A 22,933-nucleotide genomic window follows, 5' to 3' on the forward strand; every position below is an offset into this window, starting at 1 on the left:
AAAAAAAAAAAAGAAAAAAGAAATTATGGCTCTGGCTGGGCACAGTGGTTCATGCCTGTGATCCCAGCACTTTGGGAGGCCAAAGTGCGTGGATCACCTGAGGTTAGGAGTTCAAGACCAGCCTGGCCAACATGGCAAAACCCCATCTCTATTAAAAATACAAAAATTAGCCGGGTGTGGTTGCAGATGCCTGTAATCCCAACTACTCAGGAGGCTGAGGCAGGAGAATCACTTGAACCCGGGAGGCAGAGGTTGCAGTCAGCCAAGATCATACCACTGCACTCCAGCCTGGGTGACACAGTGAGACTCCATCTCAAATTACATATAAAAAAAGAAATTCTGGCCCTGGCTCTGTCCTAGTTAAGTGGTATTGCCCCACCTAGGATACAGGTCTTGATTCCTAGCCAGAGTTCCTTTCAGTAAGGGACCCTCTTAGAGTTGTTTATTATGCAGTTAACAAGAGTAAAGTGGCTGAGTGTGGTGGCTCATACCCTTAATCCTAGCACTTTGGTAGGCTGAGGCAGAAGGATTGCTTGAGCTGAGGAGTTTGAGCTGCAATGAGCTATGATTGTGCCACTGCATTCCAGCCTGGGCAGCTGAGCAAGACCCTGTCTCAAAAACAAAAATACAAAAACAAACAAAAAAACAAGGTACAGTGATCATTTCTTGAATTTTGACTGAGGAATAGAAAGGAAACTTAAGCTTCTGTCCTCAAACCTCCTGTAGAGAACTGGGAAGGATCTACATCTGTTTTAGAGTTGGTTTCTATAAGGTCTTAAATCATAAAGCACTAGCATTGAACTGATTATCTTGACAGCTGTTCAACTATTGAGATTAATTTTTGATGACTCATTCATAGAAGTGTTTTTTTGATAATATATTTATGTTTATTTAATGAAATACGATTTGGGTAAAATACCTATAATTTTTACCATCTTGTGTCTTGCCAGGAAGTGGTCATAGTAAGTGCTACAAGAACACCCATTGGATCTTTTTTAGGCAGCCTTTCCTTGCTGCCAGCCACTAAGCTTGGTTCCATTGCAATTCAGGGAGCCATTGAAAAGGCAGGTCAGTAGTTACTTGGCTTTTTGTGTTAAGGGAGCAAAAAGATTCCATGGAAAAGATATTTATTTTGCATTAACTATGTATGTAACACTTAGAAATAACTTAATGCCTACATTTCTGCTTTCCCTTGTAAAGAAGTCTTTGTACTATACAGTTTAGATTGAAACTCAAAACTGACAAAAAAAAGAAACCATTCCTATTGTGTAATGTCACCTACCTTATTAGGTAATCACTGATTATTAAATTGAATTAAATGCCTTTTTGACTTTTTTTTTTTTTAATAAAGGGATTCCAAAAGAAGAAGTGAAAGAAGCATACATGGGTAATGTTCTACAAGGAGGTGAAGGACAAGCTCCTACAAGGCAGGCAGTATTGGGTGCAGGTACCTGGAAGACTTTTTTGCTTTTATACTTAAAATGTGTAAAAGGGGCCGGGTGCGGTGGCTCATGCCTGTAATCCCAGCACTTTGGGAGGCCGAGGCAGGCGGATCACGAGGTCAAGAGATGGAGACCATCCTGGCCAACATGGTGAAACCCCGTCTCTACTAAAAATACAAAAATTAGCCAGGTGTGGTGGTGCACTAATCCCAGCTACTTGGGAGGCTGAGGCAGGAGCATCGCTTGAACCCAGGAGGCGGAGGTTGCAGTGAGCCAAGATTGCACCATTGCACTCCAACCTGGGCGACAGAGTGAGATTCTGTCTGAAAGAAAAAAAAAAAAAAAAAAAAAAGGCTGGGCATGGTAGCTCACGCCTGTAATCCTAGCACTTTGGGAGGCCGAGGCGGGTGGATCACGAGGTCAGGAGATTGAGACCATCCTGGCTAACACAGCGAAACCCTGTCTCTACTAAAAATACAAAAAATTAGTTGGGCGTGGTGGCCAGCACCTGTAGTCCCAGCTACTCCGGAGGCTGAGGCAGGAGAATGGCGTGAACCCAGGAGGTGGAGCTTGCAGTGAGCCCAGATCGCGCCACTGCACGCCAGCTTGGGGGACAGAGTGAGACTCCGTCTCAAAAAAAAAAAAAAAAAAAAAAAAGTATAAAATGGCAAAATGAAGGTTATTTAAGCTTAAATGAAATATTAAATGCATGATATAATTTGTAGTTATATTGGCAGAAGAAATGTTGTAGTTTATAGTAACATGCTCTATTAAGTTCTGCAGTTGTGTTTGAGTATCGGTTTTTCAAAAGTGACTTATATTGGTTTTAGGCTTACCTATTTCTACTCCATGTACCACCATAAACAAAGTTTGTGCTTCAGGAATGAAAGCCATCATGATGGCCTCTCAAAGTCTTATGTGTGGACATCAGGTAAGAAACACCGTCCTTCCCATTTATTAATCAGAGTAATACCTAGGGCTAAAAGACACAAAAATCTAGGCATATTCATATTTTAGAAATGAGATTCTTTCTCATAAGTTAGTATGTTTTCTCACATGCTCAAGAGTGTCTGGATTTGCTAAGTCCATTTGAAGTATGGTCAAAATGATAGCGTAGGCTGGGTATCATGTCTGTAAGCACTTTGGAAGGTCGAGGCAGGAGGATCCCAGGAGTTTGAGACCAGCGTAGGCAACATAGCAAGCGAGACTCTGCTCTTTGAAAAAAAAAAAAGCCTAAGTGTCTTGTGTTACAAAGTTGTTTTTAGGCCCAGGCACAGTGGCTCACTCCTATAATCCCAGCACTTTGGGAGGCTGAGGCTGGGGGCAGATCACATGGTGAAACCCCGTCTCTACTAAAAATACAAAAATTAGCTGGGCGTGGTGGCAGGTGCCTGTAATTCCAGCTACTCGGGAAGCTGAGGCACAAGAGTCACTTGCATCTGGGAGGCAGAGATTGCAGTGAGCTGAGATTGTACCACTGCACTCCAACCTGGGAGATAGAGCAAGACTCTCAAAAAAAAAAAATTGTTTTTAGTCAAGGCATTTGGGTCTTTCTCTGAGGCTGGGTGACTAAAAATTCATAAATACTGTATTTGCCAGAATAAGACAGGTTTTCATTATAAAGGAGAACACGGTGCTTAACCCTGGGAATCAAATCATTGCTTGAGCCCAGGCTTGATGACTAATTTGTAGTCATTAAGTTAAGTTCTACAGGCTTTCTAATTAGCCTTGCTGATCTATATCTTGTCTTTACTTGAGATCAAGCAAGAGACAGGCTCCTTAGCAAAAATATGCTGTCATGTCAGGAGGTGAGACCTGGACACACAGAAGAATCAAGATTCTCTCAGATCTGAGCCCTTCATTTTTCAGATGAAGATTTTTTTCAGTGTGTCTGAGACAGCCACAGAGTTACAGGGCTGAGCATCTGCCATGTGACAGTCATTGGAAATAGAGTGGTGAACAAAACATTTAAAAAAATCTGTACATGTGCAGGTCTCTGTTGGAAAAATGCCTAAAAGAAATGCTGAGTCAGGATTTGAACATTTTGGTATTTGCAAATGCTTTCCATAAAAGTTGTACCAGTTAGACTTTCCAAAAATTGTGTGACTTGTCTGGATCTGCACCACCACTGGGTGGTACCAAACCCTTGTCAAACTGGTAGGTGAAAAACGGTCACCAGATTTAGTTTCAGAACTGTTTGTCATGGAAAGTTTTGTCTTAATTGAAGTATTGTGGTTCTCTAGCAAATGCCATTTGTACTATATTGAAATACTTTCATTTAATATTATTTTATTCATTTGTGGATATATACAGTGACTTATAGGCATTCTTGGAAGTGCTTTGTTTTGAATATTTATGACCTTAGAAAACAGTCAGTTTTACTTTATAATGAAGAATTGATACCTTATTTTCTGTCACTTATTATTGCCATCACCCCCAGTAAAAAGTACAAGTGAATAAAACTTAGATGAGAACTGATTAAGAATTTCTCTATTTCGGAATAGGCAAAATATTTATGTTTCTTTGGTATAGAGCTTGCTTGTCTGTATGCCTGATTAAAGACTGTAAGAAGATATTATTGGCTTTATGTTTACATTAATGTTTTATATTAAACTGTTTTTAACTAGCCCTTATAATGCAAGTGATTTTTTTTTGTTGACTTGTAAAGTAGTAACAAGTTGATTAATATTTATTAAACTTATATATGCCAGTTGCCAAGGATGTAAAAATATGACAGGGTGTCTGGCCTCAAAGGAGCATAGTCTAGTGGGAAGACTTGACATGTAAACATATAATAATATTAAAAGCATTGCATAGTAATTGGGGAACACAAAGGAGGAGAAACTGTTTCAAGAAAGGATAGAAATAAATGGTCAAGGCAGACATGAAGTAGTGTTCTGATTAGTTTTAAGAGAAATGTAGGTGTTTTACATGTTGGTGGATGGGGAAAGTGCAGAGGTATGTGTGTGAAATGTGCATGGTGTCTCTGGAGAGCTTTAACTAGTTCCATGTGACCTGAGGTATAGGTTAGGCTGTGAGACTGAAAAAGGGGAGAGAAGGGATACTGTAAAGGCTTTATATATTATGCTGAGTTATCTAAGGTGCGAAATGATCAGACTTACATTCTAGCCAAAATGAGTCAGATGAGTGTTGATGATGCTTTGGTGGAAAGGCTGCATGTCAGAAGATCAAGTGGAAAATTATCTCAGCTGTCCAGGAAGAGATGATGAGGATCTCAGTCAAGGAAGTATGATTATTTTCATGAACTGAGATTACTTCTAATCTTCTAGAGCACATTAAATTTTTAGCAGCATGAATGAAATGAAGGGTTAGAAGTTAAGAATTTCAGGCCAGTCATGGTGGCTCACACCTGTAATCCGAGCACTTTGGGAGGCTGAGGTGGGCGGATCGCTTGAGTCTGGGAGTTTGAGACCGGCCTGGGTGATATAGTGAAACCCCATCTCTACTAAAAATATTATACAAAAATTAGCTGGGTGTGATGGTGCATGCCTGTAGTCCCAGCTACTTGGGAGGCTGAGGTGGGAGGATCACTTGAGCCCAAAAGGCAGAGATTGCAGTGAGCTGAGATCGTGCCACTGCACTCCAGCCTGGGCAACAGCGAGACCTGTCTAAAAGAAAATTTAAGAATTTCAGAAGATGGTTTTACATGAAAGATTTCTGGTATTTTTTTTTTAAAGACAGAGTCTTGCTTTGTCACCCAGGCTGAAGTGCAGTGGTGCGATCTTGGCTCACTGCAAGCTCTGCCTCCCAGGTTCACGCCATTCTCTTGCCTCAGCCTCCCGAGTAGCTGGGACTACAGGCGTGTGCCACCAAACCCGGCTAATTTTTGTATTTTTAGTAGAGATGGGGTTTCACTGTTAGCCAGGATGGTCTCGATTTCCTGACCTCGTGATCAGCCCGCTTTGGCCTCCCAGAGTGCTGGGATTACAGGGGTGAGCCACCGTGCCCAGCCAGATTTCTGGTATTCTTATTAATGTCTGGTTGTGAACTTTTGAGACAGAGCCTTGCTGTCACCCAGGCTGGAGTGCAGTGGCACGATCTCAGCTCACTGCAATCTCCGCCTCTACTTTTTTTTTTTTTCTTTTGAGGAGTCTTGCTCTGCCCCCCAGGCTGGAGTGCAGTGGCACAATCTCAGCTCACAGCAACCTCTGCCTCCCAGGTTCAAGCAATCCTCCTGCCTTGGCCTCCCGAGTAGCTGGGATTAGAAGTGCCCACCACCACACCCAGCTAATTTTTGTATTTTTAGTAGAGACGGGGTTTCACCATGTTGGCCAGGCGGATCCAGAACTCCTGACCTCAAGTGATCCACCTGCCTCAGCCTTCTAAAGTGCTGGGATTACAGGTGTGAGCCACTGCACCCAGCCAACTTATTTCTCATTATATTATTTAACACCATTTCTTTTCATCAGGGTGAAGTGGTAAAGAGGGTACTTCCTGTATTCACTGTGTAACAAATGTTTAATAAATGCATGTAGAATACTTGTTTGGTGGTAGCTGTATAAAGGGTGTCATGGGTTTGCAAAATATTTGTATTAACATTGGGTTTTTCTGGTGTTTCTGCGCAGGATGTGATGGTGGCAGGTGGGATGGAGAGCATGTCCAATGTTCCATATGTAATGAACAGAGGATCAACACCATATGGTGGGGTAAAGCTTGAAGATTTGATTGTAAAAGACGGGCTAACTGATGTCTACAATAAAATTCATATGGTAAATGTGATTTTTAGTGGATAAATGCTATCTAATGTCCAATACTGTTTGATTTTTCTTACTCTATGTACTTTACAAACTGAACTGAAAGATGGGCTCTATAAATGTTGATTTTAGCCGTGTACTTTTGGAGAATATTTTTGTATGCCTATTGCATCGGCATGGCTCAGTCATTAAAGAAATTTTCCCACATTTAAATAGGGTAATTTCTGACGCTTAGCTGGCAACTGCTTGGCTAATTCAAGTATGTGAAGATAAGACATGAGTGGCTGGGTGCGGTGGCTCTGGCCTGTAATCCCAGCACTTTGGGAGGCCGAGGCAGGTGGATCACCTGGGGTCAGGAGTTTGAGACCGGCTTGGCCAATGTGGTGAGACCCTGTCTCTATTAAAAATACAAAAAAATTAGCCAGGCGTGGTGGTGGTGTCTGTAATCCCAGCTACTCAGGAGGCTGAGGCAGGAGAATTGCTTGAACCCGGGAGGTGGAGGTTGCATTGAGCCAAGATTGCACCACTGCACTCCAGCCTGGGTGACAAGAGTCAAACTCCGTCTCAAAAAAAGACATGAGTGAAAAGTGACCTGGTATAGAAAGAAATATATATGTGTGTGTGTATATATATATGTTATTATTATTTTTTTGAAATGGTGTCTTGCTCTGTTGCCCAGGCTGGAGTGCAGTGGCACAGTCTTAGCTCACTGCAGCCTCCGCCTCCTGGGCTCAAGCAATTCTCCTGCCTCAGGCTCCCGAGTAGCTGGGACTACAGGCACGTGCCCCCATGCCCGGCTAATTTTTAGTAGAGACGGGGTTTCACCATGTTGGCCAGGATGGTCTTGATCTCCTGACCTCATGATCTGCCTGCCTTGGCCCCCCAAAGTGCTGGGATTACAGGCATGAGCCACCACCTCCGGCCTAAGAAATATATTTTAAGAAACGTTAACTATTAAACACTATAAGTTAGGCAAAGTTAATAGATATTTTCTAAATTATGCAAAGTTAACTTTAAAATATTTCAACTTTTTATCAGGGCAGCTGTGCTGAGAATACAGCAAAGAAGCTGAATATTGCACGAAATGAACAGGACGCTTATGCTATTAATTCTTATACCAGAAGTAAAGCAGCATGGGAAGCTGGGAAATTTGGAAATGAAGTTATTCCTGTCACAGTTACAGTAAAAGGTAGAGATAATGTTCCAAAAAGGATGAATAGACTTTTCATGTTGCTGAATGTTTTATGCTTAAGTTTTAAATTAGGACATTATCTTGGTTCATTTCAACTGCTTATGGTTAATAAAAAGTGAAGAGTTGCCAGTTCAGAGAGAATATAAATCTACCCAACTTAATGTCAGATTTCAATCCATTTATAAGATCCCTGAGTATTACTTTAAATTTGAGAAATTTATTAGAACTTTTTCCTGTGACAGTCAATACGGTATTTTAAATTGAAAAGGGATTTACTAGAAGGTTACCGGGAGTGCCTCCAAGAACTGAAGGATGAACAGTAGCAACCATTCAGCTCTGGGAACTTCAGGGATTGGAACTGGGTGTTCACTACTACTAAGACATGCTCTCTTGGCTTCTCACACCTGCAGGCTTTTGTGCTTTATTCTCTCAGCCTTTCTAAAGTTGCTGCCTCTACCTCTAGGGTCACATATATAGGGTTCTCAAAAAGGAGAGACTTTCTCACCAGTTCCAGCAGAATAAATCCACAATGAAGACTCATTAACTTGCTTTAGGTTACAATTCTATTCCAGGAATGATTACTGTGCTCTAGGTGACAGAATACTAGAGCTTATCTAGTGTAGGTCAGACAGCTGCCTCTGGGGTCAGGAGAGTGGGGTCTGTGATCATAGAAGGGAGTTGAGGAAGAAAAGGGGACATGGAGGTGTAGAAGATTTAAATTTTGTGGCTGGGTGCAGTGGCTCACACCTGTAATCCCAACACTTTGGGAGGCCGAGGTGGGAGGATTGCTTGAGCCCAGGAGTTTGAGACCAGCCTGGGCAACGAAGTGAGACTTGGCCTCCACACAAAAAAATTAAAAATTAGCTGGGTATAGCAGCACACGCCTGTAGTCCCAGCTACTAGGGAATCCAAGGCAGGAGGATCAATTGAGCCCAGGAGTCCGAGGCTGCAGTGAGCTAGGTTTGTAGCATTGCACTCTATTGGGAGACTGTGCAAGACCATTTCAAACAAACAAAATTAGCTGGCTGTGGTGGCTCCCACCTGTAGTCCCAGCTACTTGGGAGGCTGAGGTGGGAGGATCACATGGGCCTGGAGAGGATGAGGTAAACTGTGATCATGCCAGCCTAAGCAGGAGAGGGAAACCCTGCCTCAAAAAAAAAAAAAAAAAAAAAAAAAATTGTGAAGCTACTTTGTAAGTTTCTCTTTTTAAGATGGTAACATAATAGAGGTTATAGTTAACAGATTCTAGATGAGTGTTTACTTGGGATGGTTTAAGTGAAGCAGGGATACAAAGGGAGGCACAGACTACTAGGCATCTTGTACAACAGTTGCTTGCTGAATGACTACTTGTTTTGAGCGATTTTACTTAAAATATTTTTATTTTAGGTCAACCAGATGTAGTGGTGAAAGAAGATGAAGAATATAAACGTGTTGATTTTAGCAAAGTTCCAAAGCTGAAGACAGTTTTCCAGAAAGAAAATGGTTAGTGTTAAGAAATGAAGCATAAGAAAAAATTGAGCCAGTATACCATATCTAGTTCTTAGAATTGCCTAAGGATTTTGAAAAATTCTAGAAAACATCTAGATGTTATTTAACATTTTCAGTATATCAGGCTCATGTAAAATTGTTTTGGTAGTTTATACCTTCAATATATAAATCCCAGGGAAGATATGTATAACATGACTATAGAATTCAGTTTTTCATATGTAGCAGTCTATGATAGGGTCTTCATTGGCATTGAAAAAAACAGATTTATTGATATAATTTATATACCATAATAACATTCTTCTATTTAAAGTGGTTTGGTAGTTTTTAACATTCATTTATATTTATCTCCAGGTGATTCTAGATAAGAATAAATATCTGATTTGAAAAATATGTAGTGAGTACCTGCTATATATTGAATAAGGAAAGTTAGACCCTGGAGACAAAAATATTAACTGGTCCCTATGTTTCAAGAGTTGTAGACGAGCATTTATCCAGTGCCATCATGCATGTTTGTGATGTTTGAGAAAACTGTTTTATGTACACAAAAAGGCATTCTTACATTGTCTTGCAGTTAGCTGTGTACATGTTTCCTGAGGGCAGGAATTGTCTCCACCCATATTTGTAATTTCTTTAAACATTTAGCAGCCCAGGCAATAGGTATTTGTTGAATTGAACCAAATACATTTATTGTGAAGGAATGTTTTGACTTCAACCTCATTTTTGCTTTCAGGCACAGTAACAGCTGCCAATGCCAGTACACTGAATGATGGAGCAGCTGCTCTGGTTCTCATGACGGCAGATGCAGCGAAGAGGCTCAATGTTACACCACTGGCAAGAATAGTAGGTAAGGCCAGGCGAGGTGGCTCACACCTGTAATCCCAGCACTTTCGGAGGTTGAGGTGGGAGGATTGCTTGAGCCCCGGAGTTCGAAATCAGCCTGGGCAATATAGTGAGACTTCGTCTCTACAAAAAGTTAAAAAATTAGCTGAGCATGGTGGCATGTGCCTGTACTACCATCTACTCGGGAAGCTGAGGTGGGAGGATGCCTTGAGCCCAGGAGTTTGAGGTTGCAGTGAACTGAGATTGTACCACTGCACTCCAGCCTGGGTGACAGAGCGAGACCCTGTCTTAAAAAAAAATAAGGTTTCTAAACATCTATAAGCTCTTCATGAAATTGAGTTTACTTGTTAGATATAGCCAACTCCAATATTAAGTATTACTACCTAGGTTGTACTTGTGGCAGAATTTAATTGATACATATTTCAATTGAGATAGAAGCTCCTTTAATATTTTCATTATACTTTATATAAGATTAAGCTTTAAGGGCTGGGCACAGTGGTTCACGCCTGTAACCCCAGCATTTTGGGAGGATAAGGCAGGATTGCTTGAGGCCTGGAGTTTGAGACCAGCCTGGGCAACACAGTGAGACCCCACCTCTGAAAGAAAAAAATTAGCCAGGTGTGGTAGCATGCCTGTAGTCCCAGTTACGTAGGAGGCTAAGGCTGACGATCATTTGAGCCCAAGATGTCAAAGCTGCAGCCAGCCTAGGCAACAGAGCAAGATCTTGTCTCTTTTTCTTTTTTTTTAAATTAAGCTTTAAAAAACTTCCTGTCCTGTATGATAAATAGCAGAAAATAAAGTACATGCATTTTCCTACAGAGGCAGCTATGTAGGAAAAAAAGAATATGGGATTAGGAGTCCAGAAATACAAAATTTACATGTGTGGTGTTTTAGTATTTATTAACTCTGTGGCCTTGGGCAAGTTCTCAATGTCCTTAAGCCGATTTTTAGCTGCAGAAATCTGTCTTGCCTTCTTCCTAAGGACTTAACAGATGCTATTTTGTTACTTTATAAAAAGCCTTATAACTTCATTTTTTTTCTTAGCTTAGATCATGGTTTCTTAACCTCAGCACTATTGACTTTTGCACTAAGTAATTCTTTGTTGTAGGGACTGTTCTATGCATTGTAGATGTTTAGCAGAATCCTTAGTCTTTACCCAGTGGCATCTGAACTATTCTGACAACCAAAAACATCTCTAGGTGGTGCCAATGTTCCTAGAGGCAAATACCCCCAAACTCCCCCCCAATGAAAATCAGTGTCTTAGATTACTGGAGTAATTTTATAAAGTGTAGAATCCTAGAAAAGGAAGACATATATTTACATATATTAAAGGGGCTAGGAAATGTGCATTTAATGGGCTAAACTTGGCTTGTGCATATTCTATACAGTAAAAAAAAAAAGATTTTAACAACCCCCCCCCCCCTTTTTTTAAACAGCATTTGCTGACGCTGCTGTAGAACCTATTGATTTTCCAATTGCTCCTGTATATGCTGCATCTATGGTGAGAACAAAGTGAGGGGCGATACTCCATTATGCTAGCTTCTGGTTTGCTTATACCAAGGTTGCAGTTTTTAAGATTTTAAATGTTATCTGCCAAAGCAGAGAGATAGCTTGGTTTCAAATCTTCCCATGTCTTCTCCTGAAAAGAGTAAGAGCAACAAGGATAACAAACAAAAAAAAAAAAATAAAGAACAGCTCACAAACTACATCTTCAGTAGAACAGGTAAAACTACACATCTGAATTACTTGTAAGTATCATACAGAACTCACACACCTGGTGTGGTAACCACAAAGCGGAGGGAATGCTGGCTGATGGTTCCAGATCTAGAATGGAAAGCAACTAGTCACTCCCCAGGAGAGGACTCCATTCTGAAAGGGAACAGCTGGCAGCAGGTCTTCAGAGTAAATAGTAAAACTAGAGACAGAAAACCTACATATTCCAAATTGTCAGTAAGGGCTATCCAAGTCTCAGTGGGAAATTGCTAAGCAGTCACAGGAAAAGAAAGTTTTAGGGGTTCAGGGTTCTTAGAAATCTTAAGTAAATATTTCCTTTTGAGAGGGCCTCACCCTGACAGTAAACTTCTGTAAGCACCCAGATAAAAAAAATTGCAGAATTTTAGTAAAATCAGATTCTCCCCACTGCCCCCAACCCCCGCAATGAAAAAAAAAACTGCAGAATCAGTAGGAAACAAGAATAGAGAAGATCAGAAACAAGGGGCCAGTGGAGTGATGATCTGCTCAGAGCTAGCAGATCTCAGAAAATGAAAGGAACACGCAGCTTCTGAAAGTGAGTAACATCACGTTGGAAAGCAAGGGTAATAAACAATTCTGGATTCTGAAGGTAGAATAACTTCTGAGAGCTACAGACATAGCTATATATGGGTACCATATTTTGTTTTGTGTTGTTGGAACAGTGGAAGCTGTTTGAGCTGTATAGGCTAGAAAGCTACCCTTAGTCCACTAGTAGAAGAGAGGAAGATGGAGGAAGAGTTCCACGTTAATTTTATTATCGCTCACAACAATCAAATTTCTTCTGTAAAGAAAAAGGGCACTCACTAGTAATGTTTTAGGGCACTCACTAGTAATGTTTTAAAAAGTATTAGCATAGGGATAATCACTGGCACAAATACACCTTCCTGCATAGCTGAGGAACTACCAAAACAAAACAGATCATATAGTGTAAGATTTTAAATAAATGACTTACAATGAAACTGCAACAGATGTAAATATCTGTGGCCCAGATAACCCTACAGTAACATTTATAAAGCAGAAACTGCAGGGGATGCATTAATATCACTAATATTAGAAACTAATATACCTCTTTCATTAACAGTCAAGAACATAGAAATGGCTGGGTGCAGTGGCGCTCGCCTGTAATCCCAGCGCTTTGGGAGGCAGATCGCTTGAGCCTGGGAGGTCAAGGCTGCAGTGGGCCATGACTGTGCCATTCCACTTCAGCCTGGGTGACAGAGCAAGACCCTGTCTCAAAATAAATCAACAACAACAAAAAAGAATATAGAACCAAGCAACACACAATCAGTAAAGCAGAGCTTAAGAATATATAAAGCATTATGTGCCCCTAAATAGAAAATGTACCTTTTCAAATATCTGTGGAAAGAAAATCAAATTTTCTGTCCCCTATGTCAAAACAGACATAATGCAAACAAAATTCTTTGATATAATGGAATAAGATGAGCAACTAAAAATCTGAAAATGGGCCGGGTGCGGTGGCTCACGCCTGTAATCCCAGCACTTTGGGAGGCTGAAGTGAGCAGATCACCTGAGGTCAGGAGTTTGAGACCAGCCTGGCCAAACATGGTGAAACCCTGTCTCTACTAAAAATACAAAAAATTAGCTGGGCATGGTGGTGGGCATCTGTAATCCCAGCTACTCAGGAGGCTGAGACAGGAGAACTGCTTGAACCTGGGAGGCAGAGGTTATAGTGAGCCAAGATGGCGCCATTGCACTCCAGCCTGGGAGACAGAGCAAGACTGTTGGAAAAAAAAAAAATCTGAAAATAGAGATCCTTCCATCTGAAACCAAGAACTTCCATATTTAAATAACTTATGTCAAACTGTAGTATTTCAAGGAAATGATGACAGTAAGTTGTGATTGCTAATTATTTGAACATCATCTGTCTTTTAAAAAATTTAAGGTTCTTAAAGATGTGGGATTGAAAAAAGAAGATATTGCAATGTGGGAAGTAAATGAAGCCTTTAGTCTGGTTGTACTAGCAAACATTAAAATGTTGGAGATTGATCCCCAAAAAGTGAATATCAATGGAGGAGCTGTTTCTCTGGGACATCCAATTGGGTAGGTAAAAATAATAACTATATCTAGGTTAAGAGCTGCCTTTGTGTTTCTAGCTAAACTTAAAACTGCTTCATAATTCCCATTGCTCTTAAGTTTTCCTTCCTACCCATCTTTCATAAGGCAAAAACCATTTCTGATAGATGGTATCCAATACTGAACAGAGACCTGTCACATCTGTTATTTGAAACCTAATAATGTTTTATGCTGAAGAAGAAAAAGTGTACATTTAGACTTTTTACCCCCTTTTTCTCCTTCCTATTTATTTCATTAGCTTTAGGGTACCGTGGGTTTTGGTTACATGGATGAATTTATAGTGGTGGGGGCTGATTTCAGTGCACCTGTCAGTCACCCAATATGTAGTTTATCCCACATCCCTCTTCCATTATACTCTACTCTTCTATCCATTATACTGTTCTGTACTTTTAAAAGATCTGTGACCTGGCCAGGCACGGTGGCTCACGCCTGTAATCCTAGCACTTTGGGAGGCTGAGGTGAACAGATCACGAGGTCAAGAGATAGAGGCCATCCTGGCCAACATGGCGAAACCCTGTCTCTACTAAAAATACGAAAATTAGCTGGGTGTGGTGGTGCACGCCTGTAGTCCCAGCTACTTGGGAGGCTGAGGCAGGAGAATCGCTTGAACCCAGGAGGTGGATGTTGCAGTGAGCTGAGATTCTGCCATTGCACTCCAGCCTGGCGACAGAGCGAGACTCCATCTCAAAAAATGATCTAAGATCTGTGACCCTTCCTGAAACAAGTCCTCCAAGTTTTAGTTTTAGAATAGTAGTAGTTAATTCAGCAAGTAGTAGTGGCTAGTAAGGTTTTCAAGAAGTTAAATTGGAATAGAAACATTTTGGTTAGTCATAAATTCTGTACTTCATTAAAGAAGTAAATGCTTTCTTAATTTTAGGATGTCTGGAGCCAGGATTGTTGGTCATTTGACTCATGCCTTGAAGCAAGGAGAATACGGTCTTGCCAGTATTTGCAATGGAGGAGGAGGTGCTTCTGCCATGCTAATTCAGAAGCTGTAGACAACCTCTGCTATTTAAGGAGACAACCCTATGTGACCAGAAGGCCTGCTGTAATCAGTGTGACTACTGTGGGTCAGCTTATATTCAGATAAGCTGTTTCATTTTTTATTATTTTCTATGTTAACTTTTAAAAATCAAAATGATGAAATCCCAAAACATTTTGAAATTAAAAATAAATTTCTTCTTCTGCTTTTTTCTTGGTAACCTTGAAAAGTTTGATACATTTTTGCATTCTGAGTCTATACTTATCGAAATATGGTAGAAATACCAATGTGTAATATTAGTGACTTACATAAGTAGCTAGAAGTTTCCATTTGTGAGAACACATTTATATTTTTGAGGATTGTTAAAGGTCAAGTGAATGCTCTTTATAGGTAATTTACATTTAGTAAATTACGGTAAATTAAATTACTTCTCTTTACAGTAAGAGTTGGCTATTCTGGACAAACTAGCAGTGCTTCATATAATCACTCAAACCACAGTGTGTGCAGCAGTACTAGAAACAAGACAGAAGCCCATGTCCTCAGGGTCTAGAGTGGGGGCAATTTCTTATAACCTCAACATTCAGGGTTGGGGGAGGTCAAGCAGAAAACCCTGGAGTTTGGGCTCTGAATTACTATAGCAGCATAGAGAGTGGGAAGGGAGGTAGAAACTGATATGCTGAATGGATATATAAAAAAGGGAACAGATCACCACTTCCAATACACGACAATGCCTGTTCTTAAGCAGGACAGACTGTAACAGAAGTATCTCGCATTGCATTTTATCTGGGAAAAAATTAATTAATTAAAACGCTACAGGCAGGGGCTATGCACACTACCCTCAATTGCAGCTCTGAAGAGGGAAAACTCCCCCTCAGGAAGAGGAGGGGGCAGTAAAGGTCATTGTGTACACATTATCTGTTGGCAAATAATGTATTGTAGATCTTTTGAAGGAGCAAAATGACAATATATGGGAGAAATAGATTAGATTGCTCTTCAGATTCAGAGGAAGAGTAGAGTATTTTCAAAAACATCTGTAATCATCACCAACTTTTGAGGCTTGTTATGTGCTTTATATGTATAAACTCATTTAATTGTCACAAAAACTTCTAAGAGTGGGTACCATTATTATCCCTCCTTTATAAACAAGGAAATTGAGGCATAGAGTAGCTAAATAAATTCCAAGGGCAAAAAGCTGGCTAGGATTCAACTCCAAGTTAGTCAAGCTCCAGAGCCCACGTTCTTAACTTACTATGCTTTAGTTAAATGCCTTTCAATAATTATCTGCCCCGACTTACAAAAACTTCTAACTGAACCAGGAGCTGGATAAGATATAGGAGAAAAGGAAACCCAAAACATGAGAATACTTCATTGAAGATAAGCAGAAACTAACATTGCATCCAAAGGTCATTGATCTGGAAAACATCTGAGAAGTGCTCTGACAATTCTGGGAAAAAATGGAAAAGAGAGAAGAAACAGAGAATCAAGTAAGTAGGTTTTTTAATTTGTTTTAAAGAGATAAGGTATTGCTCTGTCGCCTGGGCTGGAGTGCAGTGGCATGACCATAGCTCACTGTAACCTTGAACTCCTGGGTTCTCAAGTGATCTGCCTCCCTCAGCCTCCTGAGTAGTTAGGACTATAGGCACATGCTACCATGCACAGCTTAAATGGTGTTTCCTAAAAAAAAAAAAAAAGATACTCTGAAGCAATAATTTAATATAACAGAAAACATAAAGATAATAGAAAAACTCAGATTTTTAAGTCCTAAGGGGGAAGATTTTAAAGAGCATTTTTTTTTTTTCTTTTTTGAGACAGAGTTTTGCTTCGTAGCTCAGGCTGGAATGCAGTGGCACGATCTTGGCTCACTGCAACCTCCGCTCCCTGGGTTCAAGCGATTCTCGTGCCTCAGCCTCCTGAGTATACAGGCATGCGCCACCAAACCTAGCTATTTTATTTTCAGTAGAGAGAAGAGTTTTGCCATGTAGGCCTGGCTGGTCTCGAACTCCTGACTTCAGGTGATCCTTCTGCCTCGGCCTCCCGAAGTGCTGGGATTATAGGCATGAGCCACCACGCCCAGCCCTAAAGAGCATATTTTATTGGCAAAATTAATTAGCAGAAAATCATACTAAGACATTCTGGAGAAAATGTATTAAATTCCTCTAACATCTAGTTAGAAAAATAGGTAGCCACAGTTCTTATTTCTATTACATTCAATCCAAGAAAACAAGTGACAGGACATCTAACTGTTTTTAATGAAACAAAATAAGATACTAAAAGGTGTGTCTCAAACACAGAAAAGTTTAGAAAATAAAGTACTCTGATGTTTCCTCCAAAAATGACAAAGGTTTAGGCAAGCCCATGGAATGAAGAATTAAGAATTCAGTTAGGTGAAAGTTTCTAATTTTTTAAATGACTGCTTAAGGACTGGCTGGGGAAGAAGGAAAGGTAGTGGTTGAAGGAAATAAAAATGTTTTACCTCAAATTATATTTATTTGACATATTTTGAGATGGCTATCAGAGGGCCAGCAAACAGAAGTGGTGCTGCAAAGCTGTCTTTTTTGAAAGAAATCTGCGTCTATGGAGAATCTCCATTAATGCAGCCAGGACTTCCCTTGTCTGGAATCTAGAAAAGGTTAAATGAGAGCCTGTCTGACACCTTTAAAGGTCTTAAACATTTAACATCCATTCTCTCAGAAAGCTTCTAACAAGACCACCTTTCCTAGCCAGGTCTCCTTTCCCTACCCGTAACCTGTGTTGCCACTAAAACCTGATTTACCAAAATAACATGTTTTTGGCCATGCTGGGAGCTCACATTACTTCTGTAACCTGAAGATGGTATAAAGTTCCTACACCTGGCCGGACACAGGGGCTCATGTCTGTAATCCTGGCACTTTTGAGAGGCCCAGATGGGCAGCTCACCTGAGGTAAGAAGTTCGACAGCAGTCTGGCCAACATGGTGAAACCCTGTCTCTACTATAAATACAAAAATTAGCCGGTCGTGGTGGCGCATGCCTGTAGTCCCTGCAACTCAGGAGGCTGAGGTGGAAGAATCGCTTCAACCCAGGAGGCAGAGGTTGCAGTGAGCCAAGATCACACCATTGGACTCTAGCCTGGGCAACAGAGTGAGACTGTCTCAAAAAAAAAAAAAAAAAAAAGTTTCTACACCCCACTGGGGGCGGGGTCAGGTCTTTGTCTGAAGGCCCCCATGTATACAACATTAAATAAATGTATATTCCTTTTCTCCAATTAATCTGCCTTTTGCAAACAGCTTTATTTTCCAGCAAACCTTCAGAGGGCCAAGGGGAACTTCAAGGTTACAGTGAAATGATCCTGCCACTGTACTGGGGGACAGAGGGAGACCTTGTCTCTTAAACAAAGAAAAGAAATACCATTTACTTTCTGGTTCTCTATTTTTTCTCTTCCTTTCCATTTTTTCCCCAGAATTTTCAGAGCACTTTTCAAATGTTTTCCAGATCACCAACCTTTGGATGCACTACTTACCTTCAGTGAAGTATTCTAAAATATGTTGAGTTTCCTTTTTTCCTTGTATTTTCCTTTTTTTTCTTGTGTTTTACACCTACCTCCTGGTTTCCCTTGGCCTTTACATGGTGAAATATCGGTAACATGTTATCTTTATCTGCTAAATAAAGGTAAACGCTAGTAGGACAAGTTCTGAGACTGCCCTCACGGGACTTACAAGAATTGCATGCTGGGTCCTGGACAGAAATATAGTTATAACTAGGCACTAAACAGGCTGCACCTTGGCCCACTTCCTAAACCCTCGGGGAGAGATTTGAAGTTTCCTCCAGTCTCCTCATTCGGTGGCCCTGCAATTAAACATCTTTCTTTGCTGCAGCCCAGGGTCTTACATACTGACTTGTCATGCACAATGGGCAATGGACCTGTTATGGTTACAGTTCCATATCTTAAGTTACTATAAGACAACAGCTTTAAAATCCAATAATAAAGTAAAAAGAGGCTGGGCGAGGTGGCTCACGCCTGTAATCCCAGCATTTTTGGAGGCCGAGGCAGGTGGATCATCTGAGGTCAGGAGTTCGAAGACCAGCTTGGCCAACATGGAGAAAACCCGTCTCTACTAAAAGTACAAAATTAGCCGGGCGTGGTCGTGCATACCCGTAATCCCAGCTACGTGGGAGGCTGAGGCAGGAGAATCGTTTGGGCCAGGGAGGTGGAGGTTGTGGTGAGCTGAGATCATGCCACTGCACTCTAGCCTGGGCAACAAGAGCGAAACTCTGTCTCAAAAAAAAAAAAAAAAAAAAAAAAAAAAAAAAAAAGTAAAAAGGGTTGCATGTATCATAAATTATGAGAAGGCAGAAACTGTTAAAATGGGGAAAGAACTACTTTTTATGATGGTCTACTTTGTACTTTTTTTTTTGGCAGAAAAAAAGCCAAAGCTATGACCAAGATAATAATGTTTCATGGATTAAACAAACACTTGTGAAAAAAGTATTAAAGCAAAGACAGGATTCAAACAGTATAAGACTGAATACATATCAAACTTTACCTTTCTAAACAATACCTATTTCTTTTTTAACTTTTTTTTTGAGATAGGGTCTTGCTCTGTTGCCCAGGTTGTAGTGCAGTGGCATGGTCTCATCTCACTGCAGCCTTGACTTCCTGGGCTCAAGTGATACACCCACCTCAGCCTCCCTGGTAGCTAGGACCACAGGTGCATACTACCATGCCTGGCTAATTTTTGGTAGAGATGGGGGTTTCATCATGTTGCCCAGGTTGGTCTCGAACTCCTGGGCTCAAGTGATCTGCCTGCCTTGGCCTCCCAAAGTGCTGGGATTACAGGTGTGAGCCACCATGCCCAGCCAACATTACCTATTTCTAAGCCCCCGTGCAACATTTATAAAACCTGCAACTTATCCTGACCACAATAATAAAAATTTTAGGCAAAAAAGAGCCTGGTATCATTTATTGTAAATAGTTATGTATGAATATTAAAAGTACTTACCCAAATTTTGCTGAAAGTTGAAATCAGAAGCAAATTCACAGCCTTAAATGCTTACATGGTTTAAGAAGGGGAAAAAAAAATCAGATAACTGTTTATTAATTTAAGTTAAATAAACATGCAAAAAGGACCCTGAGAAAGTAGGAAGCACAAAGAATAGGCTCCTATACAACTGTTGAATCTAAGAAGTGTTTTTGACAGAAAAAAGTTAATTGTATCTTAGAGAACAAAAGCCAAAATTAAAAAAAATGTGATATTTGACTCAGGAAAAAAAAGGTCAAAGCCTGAATAGATAATCAGCCAGGAAGAAATTTAGGAGAAAAAAAAATGGAAAACTGCTTAAGCAAAAGGCTCCAGGCCTAGATAATTTAGTAGTGATTTAGTCTCAAGGAACAGTTATTTCTCATTCTAAATAAACTGTTGCAGAAAAAAGAAATAAAAAACAGCATCAGCTATAATAGCAACTAGTTCTTAAAGTGCTTATTATGTTCCAGGCATTAATCTAAGTGCTTTTACATATATTGTACAATTTAAACTTCACACTTTAGCACTGGTACTATTTATTATCCCCAATATTCAAATAAACTAGAAAAAGAAGGAAAGGTTTAAAATTCATTTTAAAAACTGGCATAAGTTTGAAACCAATCTCATTAAAAGTAAACTTTTCATTGGGTGTGTTGGTGTGCACTTGTAGTCCCAGCTACTCATGAAGTTGAGGCAGGAGGATCCTTTGAGCCCAGTAGTTCAAGGCTATAGTGGGCTATGACTGTGCCCATGAACAGCCACTGCACTCTAGCCTGGGCAATATAGCAAGACCTTGTCTCAAAAACAAAAACCAAAAACATTTAAATAAAATATTCACAAAGCAAACTTACTTAAAATAATCACTAATATAAAAAGAAATTCATGAGTTCAATGAAAATATTTTAATTGATGCTTAAACGTGGCAATTAAGTTGAACAGGTACTTCTGATGTAAAATCGTAAAACTCTACCAACAAAAGCAAACATTATACTTAATAAAAGCAAACATTATACCTAACATTGCCATTAAAATGGGGAACAAGACAATGAAGCAGACTTTGATCATTATTAGTTGCACTGGAAGTGCTAATATCAGTGTAGTAAAAATAAATAAAATTGGAAAATAATTATTTACAGATAATACTTCACAAATTAAAAAGTAGCACTGGTAAATCCATTAGTACTAACAGACTTCACTCAGTATAGAAAATAAATAGAACTAAAATATAAAAGATTTTGGGACTGGCACAGTGGCTCACGCCTGTAATCCCAGCACCTCGGGAGGCTGAGGTGGGTGAATCACCTGAGGTCAGGAGTTCAAGACCAGCCTGGACAATATGGTGAAACCCTGTCTCTACTAAAAATACAAAAATTAACTGGGTGTGGTGGCGCACAACTGTAATCCCAGCTACTGAGGAGGCTCAGGAAGGAGAATTGCTTGAACCTGGGAGGCGGAGGTTACAGTCACCAGAGATGACACCAATGCCCTCTGGCCTGGGCGACAGAGTGAGACTATCTCAAAAAAAAAAAAAAAAAGATTTTCAACATTAATTAAGACAGTGTGTTATTAGCACATCTTAAAGAAAGCAGACCAATGGAACAGCATAGAGTCCAGAAACAAACCTACACATTTACCAGCTTATGAGAAAAGTAACTGTGCAATGTAGTTGGGAAAGGATAATCTTTGGTAATAAATAGTGTGGGTTAATTGTATATCAATGTGGAAAATCAATTCCAGATAGATGGTCAAATCAAAATGAAATAGGTTGAACCATAACGCTTTCAGAAGAATAACAAGGGAGAATACTCAGACACCTAACATCCATCCGAAAAAGGACCTGTATCCAGAATACAGAAAGAACACGTAAAAATCAGTAAGAAAAAGGCAGACACCCAATACTAAAATGGGCAAAAACCTTGGACTGTCCACAAAAGATAACCCAAATAGTATTTGAAAAGGTTTTCAACTTCATTAAAAAAAAAACAAAACCCAAAAAACCAACACCAAATTAAAACCAAAACATATACCAATACACACCACTAAAATGGCTAAATGAAAATATCTAACATCAGAAATAACACAGAGTATCGAGAACTTATTATACTGTTGAGTGCAGCATAAGTTGTTACAACCATTCTGGAAAATGAAAAAATCTGAATGTCTGAATATATGCAACTGTGTTCCAGCAACCCTATTCCTAAGTATTTATCCAACTGAGAAGTGTAATGCATTCATAAAAAAATGTGCAAGAATGTTCACAGCACAGTCTGTTCACAATAAGCACCTTTTACCATCTATAAAATGGATTAACTGTAATATAATACAATGAATATATACACAGCATTGAGCATGACTGAGCTGAATTATACAAAACGAGTGTTTCTCACAGATTATATACTCCATGTATCCACTGATATCGTTAAGGAAAACAAAGCTAAATCTCTGGTGCCAGAAGTCACAATAATGACTACTCTAGGGTACTGGTAATGTTCAAAGTGATTATGTGGATGTATTTACTTAAAGAAAATTCACTGAAGGGCATGAATTTATAGTGGTGCACTTTTCTCTTTATGTGTCTCCATAAAAATTTTATATTAATAAAGCAAGACCATCCCTACATAACAGCAATAACCAGTTAAAACTATGAAATGAAGAGCTTTCTAAAAATAGTAACAAACAAAAACATCCAGTTTAGCAAGAAATTTCTGATAGGGATAACTATAACACTTTGATACATACCATATGATCGTTACCCTTTGCTTCTTTATGAATTAGCTTATGACATTAATGTAGTTCAAATATTCCAATAGAAATTTAACCTGAAATAATTCAAGTGATTCTAAAGTTCACCAGGAAGCATAAAAGGGTGAATACTTGAAAAAACAAAAACAGTAACAGTGGACACAAAAGTTATAATGATTTAATCAGTGGCACAGAATAGACGATACACATACCATATAGTGTGTATATATGTGTGTACATTTAATACAAGTCCAAAATCTTTGATCATACACACCTTTGGGGTTAGCTGGGGTTCATAAATCAGAATATTTTGGATTTCTAAAAAATAACTCAAATGTATGCACCATATGCCCCCCAGTTGAGTCTGGAACAGCAGACTAATCAACATTACTATAAATGAGATAAAGACTGTTAAGTAGCCTCGTGTCATTTCAGGTCAGGTTTGCCACAGAATGAGTTCTGATGTTAAATCTAGGGGAAAAAAATTGGTTGCCGGAACCTTTTGGGTTTTAGAATTGTGAATAAGAGATTGTTAATCAGTGTAGGATAAGACAGACATCTTAAATAAATGAGCAGGGGAAAGGAAAGCTTATCTGAACAAACTGTGCAGTGGTTAAATTGTCAAGTGAACAAATTGTCAAGCAGTTAAATATTTAGGGAAAAAATGTACATTGACCCTTTTTTCAT

The 22,933-nt window shown here is 39.6% G+C and overlaps 1 protein-coding gene across 15 annotated transcripts in view, besides 2 other annotated features; it reads left to right on the forward strand.

The window, feature by feature from the left end:
* The window catches only part of ACAT1 (acetyl-CoA acetyltransferase 1), a 30,899-nt gene extending 16,165 nt beyond the window's left edge, over nucleotides 1-14,734 (forward strand). For 10 of the 15 annotated variants that reach the window (NM_001386682.1, NM_001386681.1, NM_001386685.1 and 7 more), the window contains 10 exons: nucleotides 951-1,068; nucleotides 1,352-1,447; nucleotides 2,273-2,373; nucleotides 6,029-6,172; nucleotides 7,196-7,346; nucleotides 8,736-8,831; nucleotides 9,568-9,681; nucleotides 11,114-11,178; nucleotides 13,333-13,490; nucleotides 14,401-14,734. In NM_001386682.1, the coding sequence (NP_001373611.1) occupies nucleotides 1,384-1,447; nucleotides 2,273-2,373; nucleotides 6,029-6,172; nucleotides 7,196-7,346; nucleotides 8,736-8,831; nucleotides 9,568-9,681; nucleotides 11,114-11,178; nucleotides 13,333-13,490; nucleotides 14,401-14,521 (1,014 nt within the window). In that variant the 5' untranslated portion in view covers nucleotides 951-1,068; nucleotides 1,352-1,383 and the 3' untranslated portion in view covers nucleotides 14,522-14,734. Of the gene's footprint in view, nucleotides 1-950; nucleotides 1,069-1,351; nucleotides 1,448-2,272; nucleotides 2,374-6,028; nucleotides 6,173-7,195; nucleotides 7,347-8,735; nucleotides 8,832-9,567; nucleotides 9,682-11,113; nucleotides 11,179-13,332; nucleotides 13,491-14,379 lie in introns of all 15 variants that reach the window. The other 5 variants (NM_001386677.1, NM_001386679.1, NR_170163.1 and 2 more) reach the window with 5 other exon arrangements.
* Nucleotides 4,490-4,690: a silencer, noted in NCBI's record as "peak1447 fragment used in MPRA reporter construct". NCBI's record gives its function as "represses an SCP1 promoter by STARR-seq MPRAs in K562 erythroleukemia cells {active_cell/tissue: K562}" and the evidence as "EXISTENCE:reporter gene assay evidence [ECO:0000049][PMID:32103011]".
* Nucleotides 17,900-18,068: a silencer, noted in NCBI's record as "fragment chr11:108021496-108021664 (GRCh37/hg19 assembly coordinates)". NCBI's record gives its function as "represses an EF-1alpha promoter that drives an FKBP-Casp9 reporter gene in an ReSE screen in K562 erythroleukemia cells {active_cell/tissue: K562}" and the evidence as "EXISTENCE:reporter gene assay evidence [ECO:0000049][PMID:32094911]".

Source organism: Homo sapiens, chromosome 11 (assembly GCF_000001405.40).
Source record: "Homo sapiens chromosome 11, GRCh38.p14 Primary Assembly".
Lineage (NCBI taxonomy): Eukaryota > Metazoa > Chordata > Mammalia > Primates > Hominidae > Homo > Homo sapiens.